The following is an 18,143-nucleotide window of genomic DNA, read 5'->3' as shown; positions in this document are numbered from 1 at the left end:
ACCCACGATTATACAGCTACTACATGGTAGAACTGGGTAGGCTTTGACCCAGGCTTGAGTACCTGCTGGAAACCACTGCACTTTACTAACGTTCAGGACACGAAGCTGAACTGTCCAGCGCAGCTCATTCTCAGACTTGGTTTGAGCCCTGGCCTGCCTTGTTCTACCTACCTGATCTAACTTGACCTCTCAAGTTTTCTGGGTTCTTCTCGACAGTTGCTCTAACTGAGCTGCCATCTCTCAAGCTAGTTTTGAGTTCCAGGAACTGTCCTATGTTTTCCCCACCTCTTAGGTGGTGTTCTTATGTTTTTTAAAGAACTTTTCAGCAGAAGCTAGATAGATTCATATGGTTACCAATCAATCCAAACTAAAAAGAAGATCCAACACCGGCACTAAGCAACATCACACACAAGTAACTGCACTTGTTCTTGACTTCTTCCACTCTTCCTTTCAGCATTCCGTTTTCTCCTCCTGGCATCTTCTTAACCTTGGCCATCCCAATGTCCTCTTTTTCTGCACACACTTCATTTCCTTTCACGTGCTCTGGAGTCCCATTTCTGCGTGTTCCAGAGGTAAACTATTATATTCTCCCTAAAGATTAATATATTAGCCATCTCAGGGTATTTCTTTTAAATTAGAAGATTATAATCAATGTTGCTGTAATTGTTGATTTTAACATCCCTGAATAGATATGTGTGATCTGAGAAAACTTTTGAATGTTCCTGAAATTATGCTTCATAACAACTCATTATTATTAGCTTATGAAATCAGCTTTGGGGACTGAGTTGAAAAAACAGATTTTCTCCTCTGCTCTCACACACAACACAGAAGACTTTTTTTGACCAAATGTGTGGGGCTTTTCCCCACATACCATGCAAGCAATTAATTATGCAGCAGACACCAACTGTGTGTCCTCCAGTTGAATTTCTGCACCATCTCCCTGGAAATCGCATCAGATCTCACAGGTTCGGGGCTCAGTCCCACAAGACTGCTCCCCCACCCCACTTCTGATGCCAATTGCAAGCCCCAGGTTGTTTTACCTGTGCTTCTGACCAACTGGCTGTTAATTGGGGTCCCCATTACCCCCTCCTTGGACTTGAAATTTGCTGGAGTGGCTCACAGACCTCAGTGAAACACTTTCATCTACTTTTTTTTTTTTTTAATAAAGGATATTACAAAGGATACAGATGAAGAGCTGCATAGGGCAAGGTATGGGGGAAGGGATGCAGAGCTTCCATGCCCTCCCCCCGGGTACCACCCTCCAGGAACTTCCATGTGTTCAGCTATCTGGAAACTCTCTGAACCCAGTCTTTTAGGATTTGTATGAAAGCTTTATTACATAGGCATAATTGATTAAATCATTGGCCATTGGTGATCAATTTAACCTTCAGGCCCTCTCCCCTCCCAGAAGTAGGGCTTCCAGGAAGCAGAAGTCCCAACCTTCTAATTTTGCCTTAGTGTTTTTGATGGCCAGCCCCCATCCTGAAGCTGCCTGGGAGCTGCCAACCATCACTCAATTCTTTAGCATACTAAAAGATGCTTATCACTTTGAAGATTCCAAGGATTTGGGGAGTTGTATGCCAGGAAATGAGGACTGGGACTAAACATATATTTCATAACATCACAGGGACTATGTCCGTTAAACCCAAATAGTGTCATCAATATAAAGAATGGCTTCAAAAAGTTTATTATTATTGGCTCGTAGGTGGCCATTTGGTTCTGGTGTCTTCATGTGATCTCTGTCTATGTGCATATGTCTAGTCTCTGGCTCTCTCTGTCCTAGTCTCCTTTTTGTTATAAGGATTTTAGTCATATTGCATTAGGTCCCACCCTAATGACCCATTTTAGCTTAATCACGTCTTTAAATGCCCTGTTTCCACATACAGCCACATTCTGAGGGACTGGGAATTAGGGCTTGAGCATATGAATTTGAGGGAGACACAATTCAGTTCCTAACAAAAAGCTAACAAAAAAGTCAAACAAATATAAACTCCGGGGAATTGAAGGAAGTATAATCAAGGAAAACATAAAGCTGAATACATGGCTTAGCTCTGAATAGCATACTTTGTCATAACAATATACCAGTGAATATTGATTTAACCAAAATTACAATACAACCACATCAGGAGAATGGGCAAAAGAAAGTATGCATGTGTGTGGTAGAAGTGAGGGCAGGAAAGAGAAAGAATTAAATGCTCATTTCCTTAGTGAAAATTCAATAGCTATTTTCTAGAAGAGAAAAATCAAAAAGTAGCAGCAATACCAGCAAGTGACTTAGAGAAAAGCTGATAAGTAACAAAAGATCACTTAAAAGAATTGAAAGTTGTTGCAACTGGGAAATGACAAGTGAGAGCAGATGTGCCCAACCCTTGCTAACTTAGAGAATTAGCCAATTCTTTCAATTCATATTATATGTTTATATAGCTATGTTAAGAACAACATAAAGAAAAGGAGTAAGGAGGTTGGGTCTTATTGTTTATTCTGTGACTACTGTGTGCAAGTTTCTTTGATTAGTACTTTACACTTGTCATCTCATTTATTTTTCATGACAACCCTGGAAGCAGTCAGAAAGAATAAATACCCCATATTGTCTAAGAAGAACATCGATTTAGAGATATTATGTGATTTGCCGTATGTTATTAGCTGGTTAGTGATAGAACCATTGCTATACTTCAGTTCTCAGTTCTACACCTTTTTTTATTTTATTTTTTTGAGATAGGGTCTCACTCTGTTGCCCAGGTTGGAGTGCAGTGGTGCGATCACAGTCACTGCAGCCTCACCCTCCCAGGCTCAAGCATCCTCCCACCTCAGCATCCCAAGTAGCTGGGACTACAGGCACACACCACCATACATGACTAATTTAAAAAATTTTCATAGAGATGTGGTCTGACTATGTTTCTCAGACTGGTCTTAAACTCCTGGACTCAAGCAACCCTCTAATCATGGCCTCCCAAAGTGCTGGGATTACAGGCATGAGCCACCTCACCTGAAAACATCTGTTAATTTAATAACTATCCTTTTCTGGTACTCTAACAGGAATCATTAATGCAGATATATTTCCTTTTATTTTTATCTTTCTAAACATTAATAAAATATGGGACACAGTTATAACTTTTTGGCTGTGTAGCATCTAAAACTCCTCCCCACAATTCAAGGAATTTCTTATCTAATGAGTCTTGGTGGCAATCAGAAACTACACCCCATTAAACAAGATATTTGCTTTTCCAGACTTCTGGCAGGGAGGGCATGGATTCATGACCTTGATGCACCCACTCTGAACTTCTAATCAAGAGCTATTCATGCAAAGAAGCGGAGACAGTTGAAAGTTAATTCTGGTGATGGTAGAGATGTAGAGAAAAAATATTGCTTTCCATAGCAGTGGAAATGGTGGTAGTGGTGACAGCGGATGTGTCCAGTGGCTGGTGCTGGTGACACCAGCAGTACAAGCCACTGCTTCTATTGTTGATTGTTTTTCCACAAACAGTGTTTGTGGAAAGTAGTTCTGTGACATGGTTTTGACCATGGCTCCCTTTGATTTTGAGAACTTTCTGAACTTGATTCTCAAGCTCCATAATATCTATCCAATATCTTTTCGATAAATTATTTTTCTGCTTAAATCGGCCAAAGCATGCTTCTGTCATGGAAATTCTGTTACCTTAACTAGTACTCATGCAAAGAAATATTCTTAGCCATGATGTCCAATAAACAGAAACTGACATTTTCAAATGAACAAAAAGTAAAATACGAAACAAAATATTATCAACTTGCCTTCCTCAAATTTATAACTGGTGACCAATTACATGCCATTTGGATTCACTGACAAAATGAAAATATTGTATTTATGAGAAAATATTAGAGTTTTTATTTACTCATTCTTCCACTCAGCAAACATTTGCTGAGCATCTACTATGTGCCAGACTCCGTGCTAAGTTCGAGGGGAACAGCCATGAAGAAAATAGACAAAATTCTCTGCTCTTATTGTAGTAGGGAAAGATTAAATAAATAATACATACAATGAGTAAACTATATATTATGACCTAAGTTGATAAGTGCTTTGTGAAAAAAATGAAGCTTGGAGATCGTGTTGCGGGATCTTTGGGGTATTGCTTCACCAGCTGGAAACCTCTGTGGCCAGTGGCACCTTTGCCTGAGTTTTGCTCTGGCCTGCTGGGCTGGTTCTGCCCACTCAGCCTGGAAGGCTGTGCTCAGCTCCTGCTACCAGCTTGGATCCCATGCCTGTCAAGAGTGAGCCAGGCACAGAGCACTGAGGGGTGTGTGAGCAAGTGTGGGGTCCAGCCGGCTGTGGCAGGACAGGCAGTTCCAGGGATTGGCATGGGCACCAGCTTCCTGTGAGGCTGTGGCTGGGCCAGGTGTATCAAAAGCAGCTTCCACGACTGACACTGGGGAATGCAGTGTGGTGCCTAGAAGCTTGAAGATGCCAGGAACCACAGAACCCTAAGGAGGGTGTCACAGCCCTGGCTTGGGGAGCTCCTAGGTCTGGGTTCCCCAAAGGGCCTCAGCTCTTCTCTCCTCTCTTCTCCCCTTCTCTCTTCTCTCCTTCTTGTCACCCACAACGTGGCAGGCAAGGGGTGTGTTTTCAGCCCTGTTTGTGTTATGGCTCTTTTAGCCCCGCCATTCAGCAGGTCTCGAGTTCTTGTCCTACATCCAGGAAGAATGAGGTACACAGACAACTGGAGGGTATGCAAGACAAAGGGGAGATTTACTGAGCAATAGAACACCTTAGAGAAGACCTGCAGTGGGCAGCTCCTGTCCATAGCAAGGGTGCCCCAACAAGTGTCCAGCTCTCAGCAGAGAAGATAGCTCCTCTCTGCAGCTGGTCGTCCTGTTGTCTCTTCAAGTCTGGCTGAGTTTAGGGATTTCATGGGCCTTAGAGGGGAGGAAGTGCTTGCTGATTGGTTCATGGGCAGCCACGGGCAGGCCCAGAAAAGGTACCACAAGTTTTCACTCTGGTCCATGGGACTGGCACCCCAGCCCTCAGCCTTTAGGCCCTTTCCAGCTTGAAGGTGGGGCTTCATTGGGGACCTGCCCCCCTCTGCCCAGGAACCTGTGTGCCTCCTGCCGCTGTTCATGGAGCTGAGGTTGTTCATGCCAAGGGGCACCTGCAGGCCAGTGCCGAGCTGCCTTCAGCTCCCCTTTAGCCTCTCTCCCATGCTTCTTGGCGCCCAAAGTCTGGAGGGGGCCAAGGTGGCAGGGGGCTGGCATACCAGCATTGCCTCAAGTGTGTGTACCCCCAGCCAGGTTGTGACAGCGCCCAGGCTTGGGATCAACTTTACTCTGTTATTGGAGTGGGTGCTGACAGCAGGGAGAAGCCAGACAGTAGGAGGAGGCACTTCTGAGCCTGCAGGCATAAGAGGGGCCTTCCTGGGTCCCCGAGAGTGCAGGGAGATGCCTGGGCCCACAGCAGCAGTTTGGGCAGCTGCAGCTGTGCCTAGGAGGATGGGGCTCCTGCCTGCTCCCAGATCCCAAGAGCACAGGGGTGCCCAGGTTGCAGCCATGGCTTGGGCAGCTGTAGTTGTGCCTGGGGAGCTCCTGCTATCTCCGTGGAGCATGGCACCACCTCAGTCCCAGCTCTGCCTTGGGACTCCTCTCTGCCCCCCACTCCGTGCCCAACCACACTGCTCCTCCACCAGTGGGTGACTCGGCCTGGCCCCATTGCAGCAGCTCCCAGGGTGGCAGGCTCTGGTGGGGTCTCTCGGGTGGGCTCCAGGGCCTTTCCACCTCCCCTCCACGTTTTCCTGGCTGTGTCTTCAGCTGGGTAATCACAGGTTCCCAAGACACAGCAAGGAGTGAGGTTAAGGCCACAGTGGAGGCTCTGGGCCTGGGAGCGGGTCCTGCCTGGCTGTGCGAGGGTGGAGGTGGTGCAGTTGGCTGCCTTGGGGATGCAGGGCACAGGGGTCCCACTGCCACCACTGCTGCTCCCAGAGCTGCTCCTGCTGCCACTGTCCATACCTCCCTGCTGCAGCTGGTATAATGGCAGCAACTGCTCCAGACGGTCTGCCACCACCATCAGTTGGAAGTGGTAGAGTGAAGTAGTGTTACATTTTAGTGGGGTTGGACAGAGTAGGCCTTGTGGAGGATGCAATGTTTGAATAGACTGTTGATCACAGGAAGGGAGAGGGCCACTGCAATATTTGTAGGAACAGCACTGGGGACAAGCCAGTGCACAGGTCCAGTGCACACCCCAGTGCCTGGGGTGGCTAAACCAGAATAAGCCAGCAAGAGATGGCAGGTAATAAGGTCAGACAGAGAACCAGAGGCCCAGTGTGTACAGGACCTTGTTGGCTACTGTAAGAACTTGGCTGAATGTAGCAGAAAACCACCAGAGGTTTTGAGCAGAGGAGTGACATGTTTTCACTTAGGTTTCCACAGATCACTCTGTCTGCTGTATTGAATGATTCTCAGTGGAGGTGGGGGGAATTTTGCCCCCCAGGGAGCATTTGACAATATCTGGAAATATTTTTGTTTGCCACTCCTGGGGGGCATCTCCTGGCATTAATGGGTAGAGGCCGAGGATGCTGCTGAGCATCCTGAAATACACAGGACAGACTCTACCACCAAGAATTATCCAGGTCAAAACGCAATAGTAGCAAGGTTGAAAAACCGTAGGGGCAAAGTCCCTTACATAGACCAGTGATTAAACGACATGATGAAATTCTGAAAAATTCTGTACTTATGTGTTAACTAAAACAGTATGTTATTGTATGTTTAGTACTGAAATCCCAATATTTACTAAATTTACATAGAACATGAAACATTAGTTGGGAAGCATTTTAATAATATACCCTAAATTATATAGGAGTAAAAAAGAAACATTTCAATATATTTTAAGAATTTCTAAGTTTATTTTTATGGTGTTCTTATCCAATAAATTAAAACAATGCATTCATTTCTATCTTAGTTTAAAATATAATATACGGTACTTACACAGTCCATACCTTAAAAATATTCAAAAGTAACTATTTTTAACCAATCCAGACTTTCATTCTCATGTTTTTCCCTCTCTTTTCCAACATACTAAAATATTTGTACCTGCTGTTTCGAAAAATAGGTTATATTTTTTGGTTAAATCATTAAAAACATAACTAGATATGTATTGTACATATCTTCAAATTTCACAACCATGCAGTGAAGTGTTATTTAGTTTATTTATATTGATTTGCTTTTTAAAGAAGTTTTAAAATATGGAGCAAAATATAATTTTTTCAACAAAGTTGACACAAAGGATATAATTCATGTTGCCCTAAGGTAACAGAAACACATAAGAGCCCAAAATATATGGAATGTATGCTAATTCATTTTGTTTTTTTAATAGCTCTTACATTCTACAGTGGAGTTTGTACTGCTCTAAATAGTTTTTTGGAACAAGGTATTGTATGTATAAATGAATAAACAAATACATATACCCAAACTTAATATAGAAATAAATCTGATTAAAGAGGCCAACAGAAATTCCATGATACAAAGCACGTTGTAAAGCTACCTGAAAAAGTACAGCCATTCAAAGAATTCTTTATCAAATATTTATAACCGCACATTAAAAATAATTATTTCAATTTCCAAAGTATGATTTGCTAATTTTATAAACCAATATTCCTTCCTAAAATACATAAATTTGTGCTATTTGCTGAATTCTCAATATGCGCTTCATGTCTAGGAGCTAGGAAATCATAACAGTATCGAAGATTGAGCCTAAGATATTTCTTAAAACATTTACTCTTTATTTTTATTTTATTTTACCTTAAGTTCTGGGATACGTGTGCAGAACGTGCAGGTTTGTTACATAGGTATACATGTGCCATGGTGGTTTGCTGCACCTGTCAACCCGTCATCTAGGTTTTAAGTCCTGCATGCATTAGGTATTTGTCCTAATGTTAAAGCATTTATTCCAAATCTGACCATTCTCTAGTCAGTGTGAGTGATGTTATTATAAATATCTCAATTATTCTTTAGATAATGATGTTTATAAACAATGACTTCGCCAGAAGCGTCCTTTTATGTAAACTGAATTTATAAAATGCATTAACCATTGGTTTTTGCTGCACAGCAGAAACCCAGATTCCATTTTGAATACTTGCTTGGTGAGGCATTAGACAGGTTCTTCATCTGAGACAAAATGTAATATACCAAGCTACTGTCGTACTTCCAGAAATAGAAGGATATTAACATTGTGGCACCAATATTATGAATGCATAGTCATTATTGGACATCCATAAAAGAAAATTTTTGAAGTAACGAGCAAAGTCAGAAGATTATATGTATGTGCCATATAAATTGTTGTGTAAAATATAGGTCACTTAGGTAATTTATCTGAGCCTAACTCAACCTTTCATGAGAGGCTGGAAAGAATGAATTTCATGGACCTGAAATTCTCTGGGTCAGACTTGTTAGAGAATGAAACGAGGAAGGGAGACTTTAGACCTAAGAGCAGCTGCCTCCCACTAATTATGTCAGCGGGTGTTAGGAAAACATGATCTCAAAAAGGAGGAGATGCAGCACTAATGAATATCTATGCAATATGAAGCTAAACAAGCCCTCACAGAGCATAATGAAAGAACTAGAGTTGCCAAAGCAAATCTAGGAAAGCTAGGATGTTGGAGGTCCTTAGAAATAAACTTGTGCTTTTTCATCAGCTAGTTCACGTTTGGACCAGAAGCTCAAGTTTTATCACCCACTAGATAATGATTTGAAGAAATATGCACCCTTCCAGCATACTAGGCTTCAAATTTACCAAATTACATTCATTGCCTTCAAAGACAACTGTGTTGTCTCATTCCAGGCAGCTATCAAATACAATGTACTTGCTAGGAGCAGAGCCACTCCCTTTACCCTTCCTAATTTTATCACTAGAGCAGGGGTAATCACATTTATTGTTGTATTGTGTAGCAGCCTAATGCAAGTACAGGATAAGCTATATCCAAATAGGATGCTTTTGGCTCCAAGTAACTTTTAAGCCCAACTCAAATTGGCAAATAAAGAAACATCATTAATTTTCTCTCATATCACCACGTGCAGAAGTTGTGATAGCCTTAGTCTTGGCATCTCCATGAATCTCTGGGCTCTGCCTTTCTCTAAGTGCTGGCTTCATCAAGTTCATAGGATAGTTAGTTCCTGCCTTCACATCCAGGTAAGAAAACATCCAGAAGCAAAAGTACTCTTCTAGTACTCCCTTTTAGGAATAAGAGAGCCTCTCCCAGGAACCTCCCAGCAAATGTGCCCTTATGTGTCTGTTACAATTAGGTTAGATGCCTGTTCAGTGACTAATCACCTGCCAGAAGAGTGGGATTATTCTGGTTGGCTTAGACAGTTCAGGATCCACCCATGGACCTAAGTGGGGCCACCTATTTAGAATGGAGGAGGAGTATGTACCAAAACTCAAATCCGAATTCTGTTGGACAGGAAGAAGGAAAGAATAGACACGAATGGACAACAAATAATGACCTCATATACTTCAATAAATATTGTGGATTGAATAAGTGAATAAACAAAAAAAATGCATTCCCTTTATTTTTCTCCTTTTGCCTTATTTATTCCTAAATAGAGGGTAGCTAAAATATTCACTAATGTCAGAATAATGCTGGTCAGGATTTCAGATCATTCTTAACAATGTGTTGATGTGTTATGACTCTAAATATATTCATATCTCAGGGCAATGTTTTTCACAAATCTCTATATCATTTCTACAGTGGCATAGTTTCCTCTTAGTGGTCAAGCTAGTATAATCTAGATTTTAAAGAAAACTCATAATTAAAATTTTATATGTGAACTTTGATGAAATATTATAATAGTTAATATGCCTGTTAGAGTTTGCGATCTGAATAAGACTTTAATTTTTGATGGAGTATGAACACTTAGGCAGCTTAGCACCCAGTCAATTACTGATCAATAAGAAAACTCACATTAGCTTTTTTACTTATCCCATAACCACTCAGAAGCTGTTTTGGGTATGAAATCCTTTCAGTACTACACGGACTAAACCAGTCTCTTTCATAAAGAACAAATTAAGTGATAGTGATTTTAGAAATGTGAAAGGAAAATAAATCTCAGGATCCCAATAGCACTAAGCCAAAGGGAAAAATCAAACTAGGAACTACTTAGGGCAAACCTCCCTCACATTCTATTCCTAAAAAAGATAGCTACTAAGATAAAAAAGCTACACACCTCTCTCACAATTTGTCCAGAAGGAAATTCTTTGGGGACAAAGGACACACAGGACTCAAAGTCCTTCCTCTGCTCACTGAGATAGATGCATATCTGATTGCTTTCTTTGGAAAGGCTTATCAGGAGCTCAAAAGAATGCAGCCATTTGTCTTTTATCTACCCATGACCTGGAAGCCTCCTTCAGGTCACAGGTGGAAAATTGATCGATGTCTCCTCTCCCTAAAATGCATAAAACCAAGCTGTGCCTGGACCACCTTGGGCCCATGTTGTCAGGACCTCCTGAGGCTTTGTCACGGGCACATGTCCTTAACCTTGGCAAAATAAACTTTCTAAATTGATTGAGACCTGTCTCAGATATTTGGGGTTCACAGAAATAATATAGTTTGTTGCATGTAAATAATCAAGCACGAGAAAAAATTCAGCCTTTTGTTGTATTCCTTTCCTGCCCCACCCCTTCAAAAACAAAAGAAAGTAAAACAGTTGATGGTGCATGCGATCCCTTTCTAAGCGCAGGTGCATCTGCAAGTCCATTTTGTGAATATTCAATGAGTAGTTGGAAGTCAGATGATATCCATTCCCAGAAATATTCCAAAAAAATTATAAAATCCCTAATTATACCTCTCCCTTCTAGACATTGGTACATGCTCTTTCCCTCCAAACTGGACACCACTGAACACCATGGGAACACACAGTAAAAACAGATTAGTCACTTTTGCCATGCCTGATGATTTTCATCTTTTTCTAACAGAAGTCGCGCACTGTGACCGAGGACAAGTTTTGGCTGTGTGTGTGTGTGTGTGTGTGTCTGTCTGTCTGTGTGTGCGTGTATGTGTGTTTTTGAGATGGAGTCTCGCTCTGTCACCCAGGCTGGAATGCAGTGGCACAATCTCGGCTCACTGCAACCTCCACCTCCCGAGTTCAAGCAATTTTCTTCCTCTGCTTCGCGAGTAGCTGGGATTACAGGTACCCGCCACCACAACCAGCTAATTTTTGTATTTTTAGTAGAGACGGAGTTTCACCATGTTGGCCAGGCTGGTCTTGAACTGCTGACATTGTGATCCATTCGCCTCGGCCTCCCAAAGGGCTGGGATTACAGGCATGAGCCACCGTGCCCAGCCAGCAGTATGTTTTTTTAAAAGTGTTTTGAATTTGTATGCCCTAAAGTGGAGTGTGCACTTTCCATTCCAGCTGTTAGCTGCCTGGGCCTTGAAGGTATTTGTGTTTGTTCTCCTAGAAATTATTTCAAGCTTATGAGATTTATGCTTATAGTTAATACCAAAGCACTTTCATTTTCCATTTTCCACTTAGTTGGTGTTTAAAAAGACTAAGAATGAAATAAAATATTGAAATATTGTTATAAACATGGCTGTTTACAGATTCAGTGCTGAGATCTGGACTTACTACTTGACAGGCAGATGACTACTGAAAACTCAAATTATTTCTTTTGTCAGCTAGTGTTTGAAAGTCTACATTCAAAATGCTAAGATTGGGTTATCAATATACTGTATAATGAACAAATACAAGCTGTCGGAAGATGAATTTTTGAAAGTTGCAAACAACCTAGTCACTAGCTTACTGTAGTGATTGTCTGGGTTTGAATTTTAGTTCGGTCTTGCTCTTTTGCTTGGATAAAGCTTTGATTCCAACACTCAGGCCCTTACTGTGAGGGAGGGGTGGGAGAACACTGCCTCCTTAACCCTAGCCTTTAAGAGAAACTTCAACAGCCACACTTGGTGATCTTGAGACATGTTCCCTCATTTGGGGGCATGGTGGCCTGGTGCCTGACACTTCCTGAGGAAGTTAAATCAGCTTGGATAGTGTATTAGTCCATTTTCACACTGCTATAAAGAACTACCCAAGACTGGGTCATTTATAAAGAAAAGAGGTTTAATTAACTCACAGTTCCACATGGCTGGGAAGGCCTCAGGAAGCTTACAGTCATGGTGTAAGGCAAAGGGGAAGCAAGTCACCTCTTACATGGTGGCAGGTGAGAAAGAGCATGAAAGAGGAAGTGCCACTTTTAAAACCATCAGATCTCATGAGAACTCATTCACTATCATGAGAACAGCATGAGGGAAACTGCCCCCATGATCCAATCACCTCCCACCAGGTTCCTCCCCTGACACGTGGGGATTACGATTTCAGATGAGACTCAGGTGGAGACACAGAGCCAAACCATATCATTTTGCCTCTGTCCCCTCCCAAATCTCATGTCTTTCTCACATTTCAAAACATAGTCATGCCTTCCCAACAGTTCCCCAAAGTCTTCACTCATTCCAGCATTAACCCAAAAGTCCAAGTCCAAAGTCTCATTTGAGACAAGGCTAGTCCCTTCCACCTATGAACCTGTAAAATGAAGAGCAATTTAGTTATTTCCAAGATACAATGGAGGTACAGGCATTGGGTAAATGTTCTCATTCTAAATGAGAGAAATTGGCCAAAACAAAGGGTCACAGGCCTCATGCAATTCAGAAACCAGGTGGGGCAGTCAGTCAGTAAATCTTAAAACTCCAATATCTCTTTTGACTTCATGTCTCACATCCAGGGCATGCTGATGCAAAGGGTGGGCTCCTATGGCCTTGGGCAGCTCTGCCCCTGTGGTTTTTCAGGGTACAACCCCCACAGATGCTTTCATGAGCTGGCATTGAGTCCCTGTGGCTTTTCTAGGCACATGGTGCAAGTTGTCGGTGAAGCTACCATTCTGGGGTCTGGAGGATGATGGCCCTCTTCTCACAACTCCACTAGGCAGTGCCCCAGTGGGGACTCTGTGTGGGGGCTCCAACCTCACATTTCCCCTCTGCATTGCCCTAGTGGAGGTTCTCCATAAGAGCTCCACCCTTGCAGCAGACTTCTGCCTAGACATTCAGGCATTTCCATATATCCTCTGAAATCTAGGTGGAGGTTTCCAAAGCTCAACAATTGTCTCTTCTGTGCACCTGCAGGCCCAACACCATGTGGAAGCTGCCAAGGCTTGGGGTTTGCACCCTCTGAAGCAACAGCTCAATCTGTACCTTGGCCCCTTTTAGCAGCTGGAGCTGGAGTGGCTGGGAAGCAGGGCATCAAGTCCTGAGGCTGCACAGAGCAGCGGGGCCCTGGGCCTTTGATGCCCTGAAGATCTCTTACATGCCCTGGAGACATTCTCCCCATTGTCTTGGCTATTAACATTTGGCTCCTCCTTACTTACACAAATTTCTGCGGCTGGCTTGAATTTCTCCCCAGAAAATGAGTTTTTCTTTTTTACCTAATGGTCAGGCTGCAAAATTTTCTAAGCTTTTATGTTCTGCTTCCTTTTAAATAAAAGTTTCAGTTTCAGATAATCTCTTTGTGAATGCATATGACTGAATGCTTTCGGAATCAGCCAGGTTATGTCTTGAACACTTTGCTGCTTAGAAATGTCTTCCACCAGATACCCTAAATAATTTTCTTAAGTTCAAAGTTCCACAGGTCTCTAGGGCAGGGGCACAATGCCACCAGTTTCTTTGCTAAAGCATAGCATGAGTGACCTTTACTCCAGTTTCCAATAAGTTCCTCATCTCCATCTGAGATCACCTCAGCCTGGACCTCATTGTCCATATCACTATCAGTATTGTGGTCAAAACCATTCAACAAGTCTCTAGGAAGTTCCAAACTTTCCCATGTCTTCCTGTCTTCTTCTGAGCCCTCCAAACTGTTCCACCAACCTCTGCCTGTTACTCAGTTCCAAAGTTACTTCCACATATTCAGGTTATCTTTGTAGCAGTATCCCACTCTGCCAGTGCCAATTCTCTGTATTCGTCCATTTTCACACTGCTATAAAGAACTCCCCAAGACTGGGTAATTTATAAAGAAGACAGGTTTAATTGACTCACCATTCCACATGGCTGGGGAGGCCTCAGGAAACTTACAGTCATGACAGAAGGTGAAGGGGAAGCAAGGCACATCTTACATGGTGGCAGGTAAGAAAGGGAGCAATGGAGGAAGTGCCACTTTAAAAACCATCAGATATTGTGGGAACTCACTCACTATCATGAGAACAACATGGAGGGAACCATCCCCATGATCCAGTCATCTCCCATCATGTCCGTCCTTCAACATGTGGAAATTACAATTTGAGATGAGATTCGGGTGGAGACACAGAGCCAAACCATATCTGGTAGCAACTGGGATGTACCAACCCTCTTGGCCTCTGATTGCAGGACAAAGATATGTGAGTCTGAGGACTAGGTACGTTGACCTGGGGCACTGTATAAGGGATTCTGCACGTGAGGGTGATTTGCCAAGGCCAAAAGACCCTCAGTTTTAAGTAACCCTGGGATAAAGGTGAGGTGAGCCAGGAGTGGCCAGTGAAGAGGAGTCAGTGTTGGAGAGGCCTAGCAGAGGAACTTCTGAATAAGCTATAACGGGAAGGATCAACTTTGAACATCTGTTAGTACTATAGGGTACAAAGCAAAGAACTTTGCTTCTCCCTTGCCTTTTTGCTACTACAACACCACCCCATTCCATACCAAACCTGGAGAAGGCTGAAGTGGAGATAAGAAGGAAGGAAAACAGCCAACCATGGCTTTCTAGTTAATAAAGAAGGCAGGTGGCCCTCTGCAGTCAGCCATAGCTGGATATAGATGGGGGCATATCTTATTTGTGATTGAAGATTGACAGTTGGCTATTATATTCTCATTTATGAACTGGGACTATGACTATGACTCAATGGGCTGTAAGATTTTGTATTACCTAAGAGAGATGAAAAAGGTTATGGGGCTGCCCAGGTTTTCTTTCAGGAGCCCAAGTAGGAATAGCTTCCACTAAGTGGATTTGATAGGACGTGGGAGACAAAAGTAAAATTGCAATTTGATAGCACCTCACAGATTGCCCTTATTCAATGTATCTCATGTGTGTATATGTGTATGTATACCAAATATATATATATGTACCAGATATATATGTTTTATATGGGTTTCTTAGCTCAATTTAAATTTTAAGCAAAAATTTTAATACTTTTAAAGATTAGCTCTATTAGGAATACAAAATTAAGATAGTAGTTTAATTTTAGTAATTGAAAGATAAAATAAAACACTACCTTGTTATGATGAAGCCATAAGTATTTTAATTTTTTAAACCTAGAAAGATCAATGACCTCTGTCAGTTCCCTGGAAAGAAAAAAAAAATGTGAACATTAGCAACAATTAGTTCACACATAGGTAAGTCTGGGCATGTAGTTAGTATGGCTTCGTAGTAACTAGAAAGGCCTCTCTTTGTCCTTTCAAAATTATTGGCACACTCACCTGCTTATTTCAGAAATTCCATCATTATAACTTCATTCACTTGGATTAAGATTTTGTCAGCTAGTTGAAGCTGATACTTGAAAGGGAGCACTTTATCACATTAGCAAAAATTTACACCTCATTATGGCTGAATTTATTGGAACCTTAATTCAAAACAAGTTTTACTGGGGAGAGGACAAAGGAAAAAAGTGAAGCTGATACTGTACTTTCAAGTAAATGTGGGAAATGTAGCTGGGTCCTGCTTCAATATTGTCTGTGGGGTTATTAGTGTGGGGCAATAACCTTGAAGTATTTGGCCAGACTGGACTCAGATGGAAATTGCAGGACACCAAGAGACAGACACTGTGTGAAGTGCTTTATTCTCCCTTTATTTATTAATTATAGGATTAAAATATTACCCACTTCTCTTGAACTGTGTGAGATTCCACCTATCCAAGTGGTCTTGGTTCTTGTTGCTAAGGCAGCTCACTCATCAAAGGGGCAGATGTGGGTTTGGGAGAGGGCACTGTCTGAGGATAGTTGGTCCATTTGATTGATGTGGCCTGGAGTAGTTGGATCTCTTATTTCTCAGGGCAGAAATTGTGGAACCCAAGTAAGTATACATGTACGTATCTGTTTATTTATCAAATGCTTATAGATCACGTATTGTGTGCCAGGTACTTTTCAAAGCATAAAAATATCAATATTTATTATTATTACAGATATTAATTCATTTATGGCAAAATTTTATCACAATTATTTTTAACCTTGGGACACTGAAGGACTAATATTTTTCTAATTTTTATAAAAACATACATTTTTTGAAAGCATGCAACCATTTCTAAACAAAATAAACCTTTTTTTTGCCAACTTTTTATATTGAAAAATGTCAAACCTGAGAAAAGAAGGAATAGTACAATGACCACTTGTATAACCATCGTAATTTTTAACATATTGTCACATGCTCATACTATCTATCTAATTTATATATTTATTGGTTGATAATTTTCTCGGTGAATCATTTGAAAATAAAGTTGCAGGCTTATTGCAGGTGTCTTAGCTTAAGGAGTTCAGCATGTGTATCTCCTATATCAGGGCATTGTCCTGTGCAACCACCATACCATCCTCACACCTAAGAAGATGAAATTGAATTCAGTAATGTAATCTAATATGCCATTCATGTTCAAATTTTTCCCTGTTGTTCCTACATTTTTTTTGGTTTGTTTAAATCCTGTATCCCATTAACATTCATGCATTGCATTTTGGGGTGGTATAACCTTTGAGTCTTTTTAAAGGTAATCATCTTCTTTCCTTTTTCTCCCTTAACATTAGTTTTTTTGGGCTGGGCATGGTGGCTCATGCCTGTAATCCCAGCACTTTGGGAGGCTGAGGTGGATGGATCACCTAAGGTCAGGAGTTTGAGACCAGCCTAGCCAACATGGTGAAACCCCGTCTCTACTAAAAATACAAAAATTAGCTGGGTGTGGTGGCACATGCCTGTAATCCCAGCTACTTAGGAGACTGAGGCAGGAGAATCACTTGAACCCAGGAGACAGAGGTTGCAGTGAGCCGAGATCGTGCCATGGCACTCCAGCCTGGGTGACAAGAGCAAAACTCCATCTCAAACAAACAAACAAAAAAACCAGAAAACATTAGCTTTTTGGAGAGTCCAGGATAATTGTCTGGTAGAATGTCTCACATTATTGATTTTTTGGATTGTTTCCTATTGATCAAATGCAAGGAAGATCACGTCTACTTCTCAATTACATGGGTGGTAATTACTGAATCACATAAGGATCCAAATGACGTCAGTCTGCCCCACTCTTGATGAAGCTAAATTCAGTCATTTGGTTAAGAGGGTATCTGCCAGTTCTTGCCACTGTAAAAGTACAAATTTTATAATTGGAAAGTCATACATGAGGCAAATATCTGAGATCATGTGTGTATCTTGCTCCCTGACAACTCTTTACTCAATAGCTTTAGCTTCAATTGATGATCCTTACCTGAGCCAATAGATTTGGGATTATAAAAAATGATTTTCCTAATGTTCTTATTCTTTTAACATTTATTAGCTGCTATTCTTCTGTAATGAACATCTGTTCCCTCCTCTTCTATCTCATTCATTCTCCTCCCCACCTTCCCTGAATTTTCAAGAGTTTTTTACTTAATCCTTTATCACTTAAAACAATTATCAAATTCTCCCTTATAAAAGACATTTCAAGCAGAATTGTGTGTCTCTTTGATATGTACCATTAGTTTTTGAGCACTTCCCTGGCACAACTAAGTATTTCAGACTCTTCCAAAACAACTTTTTTTTTCTTTTTTAGAAAGGGTTTGGCTCTGTTGCCCAGGCTGGAGTACAGTGGCTCCATCTCGGCTCACTGCAACCTCCACCTCCTAGGTTCATGCGATCCTCCCACCTCAGCCTCCTAAGTAGCTGGGACCACAGGTGCATGCCACCACACCTAGCTAATTTTTTGTAGAGACAGGGTTTCATATGTTGCCCAGGCTGGTCTCAAACTCCTGGGCTCAGGTGATCCACCTGTCTCAGCCTCTCAACGTGTTGGGATTATAGGCGTAAGCCACCACGTCTGGCCTCAAAGCAATTTTTAGTAGGAAATTTGCACAAATAATAATTCATTCTCCTCTCTCACTGTATATATGTAGCTTATTTCAGGGAAAGAGTACTTGGACCTTGGGGCACCCTAACTATTACATGGGGCGATA

General features: G+C 41.7%; 1 protein-coding gene across 2 annotated transcripts in view; it reads right to left on the bottom strand.

Moving 5' to 3' along the window:
• LRRC72 (leucine rich repeat containing 72) overlaps positions 1-18,143 on the bottom strand; it is a 54,744-nt gene that overhangs the window by 28,640 nt on the left and 7,961 nt on the right. For both annotated transcript variants that reach the window (XM_011515057.2, NM_001195280.2), the window contains exon 3: positions 15,233-15,302. In XM_011515057.2, the coding sequence (XP_011513359.1) occupies positions 15,233-15,302 (70 nt within the window). The remainder of the gene's footprint in view (positions 1-15,232; positions 15,303-18,143) is intronic.

Source organism: Homo sapiens, chromosome 7 (genome assembly GCF_000001405.40).
Source record: "Homo sapiens chromosome 7, GRCh38.p14 Primary Assembly".
Taxonomy (NCBI): domain Eukaryota; kingdom Metazoa; phylum Chordata; class Mammalia; order Primates; family Hominidae; genus Homo; species Homo sapiens.
Note: the sequence above shows the minus strand (reverse complement) of the source record. Positions and strands in the feature narration are given on the sequence as shown.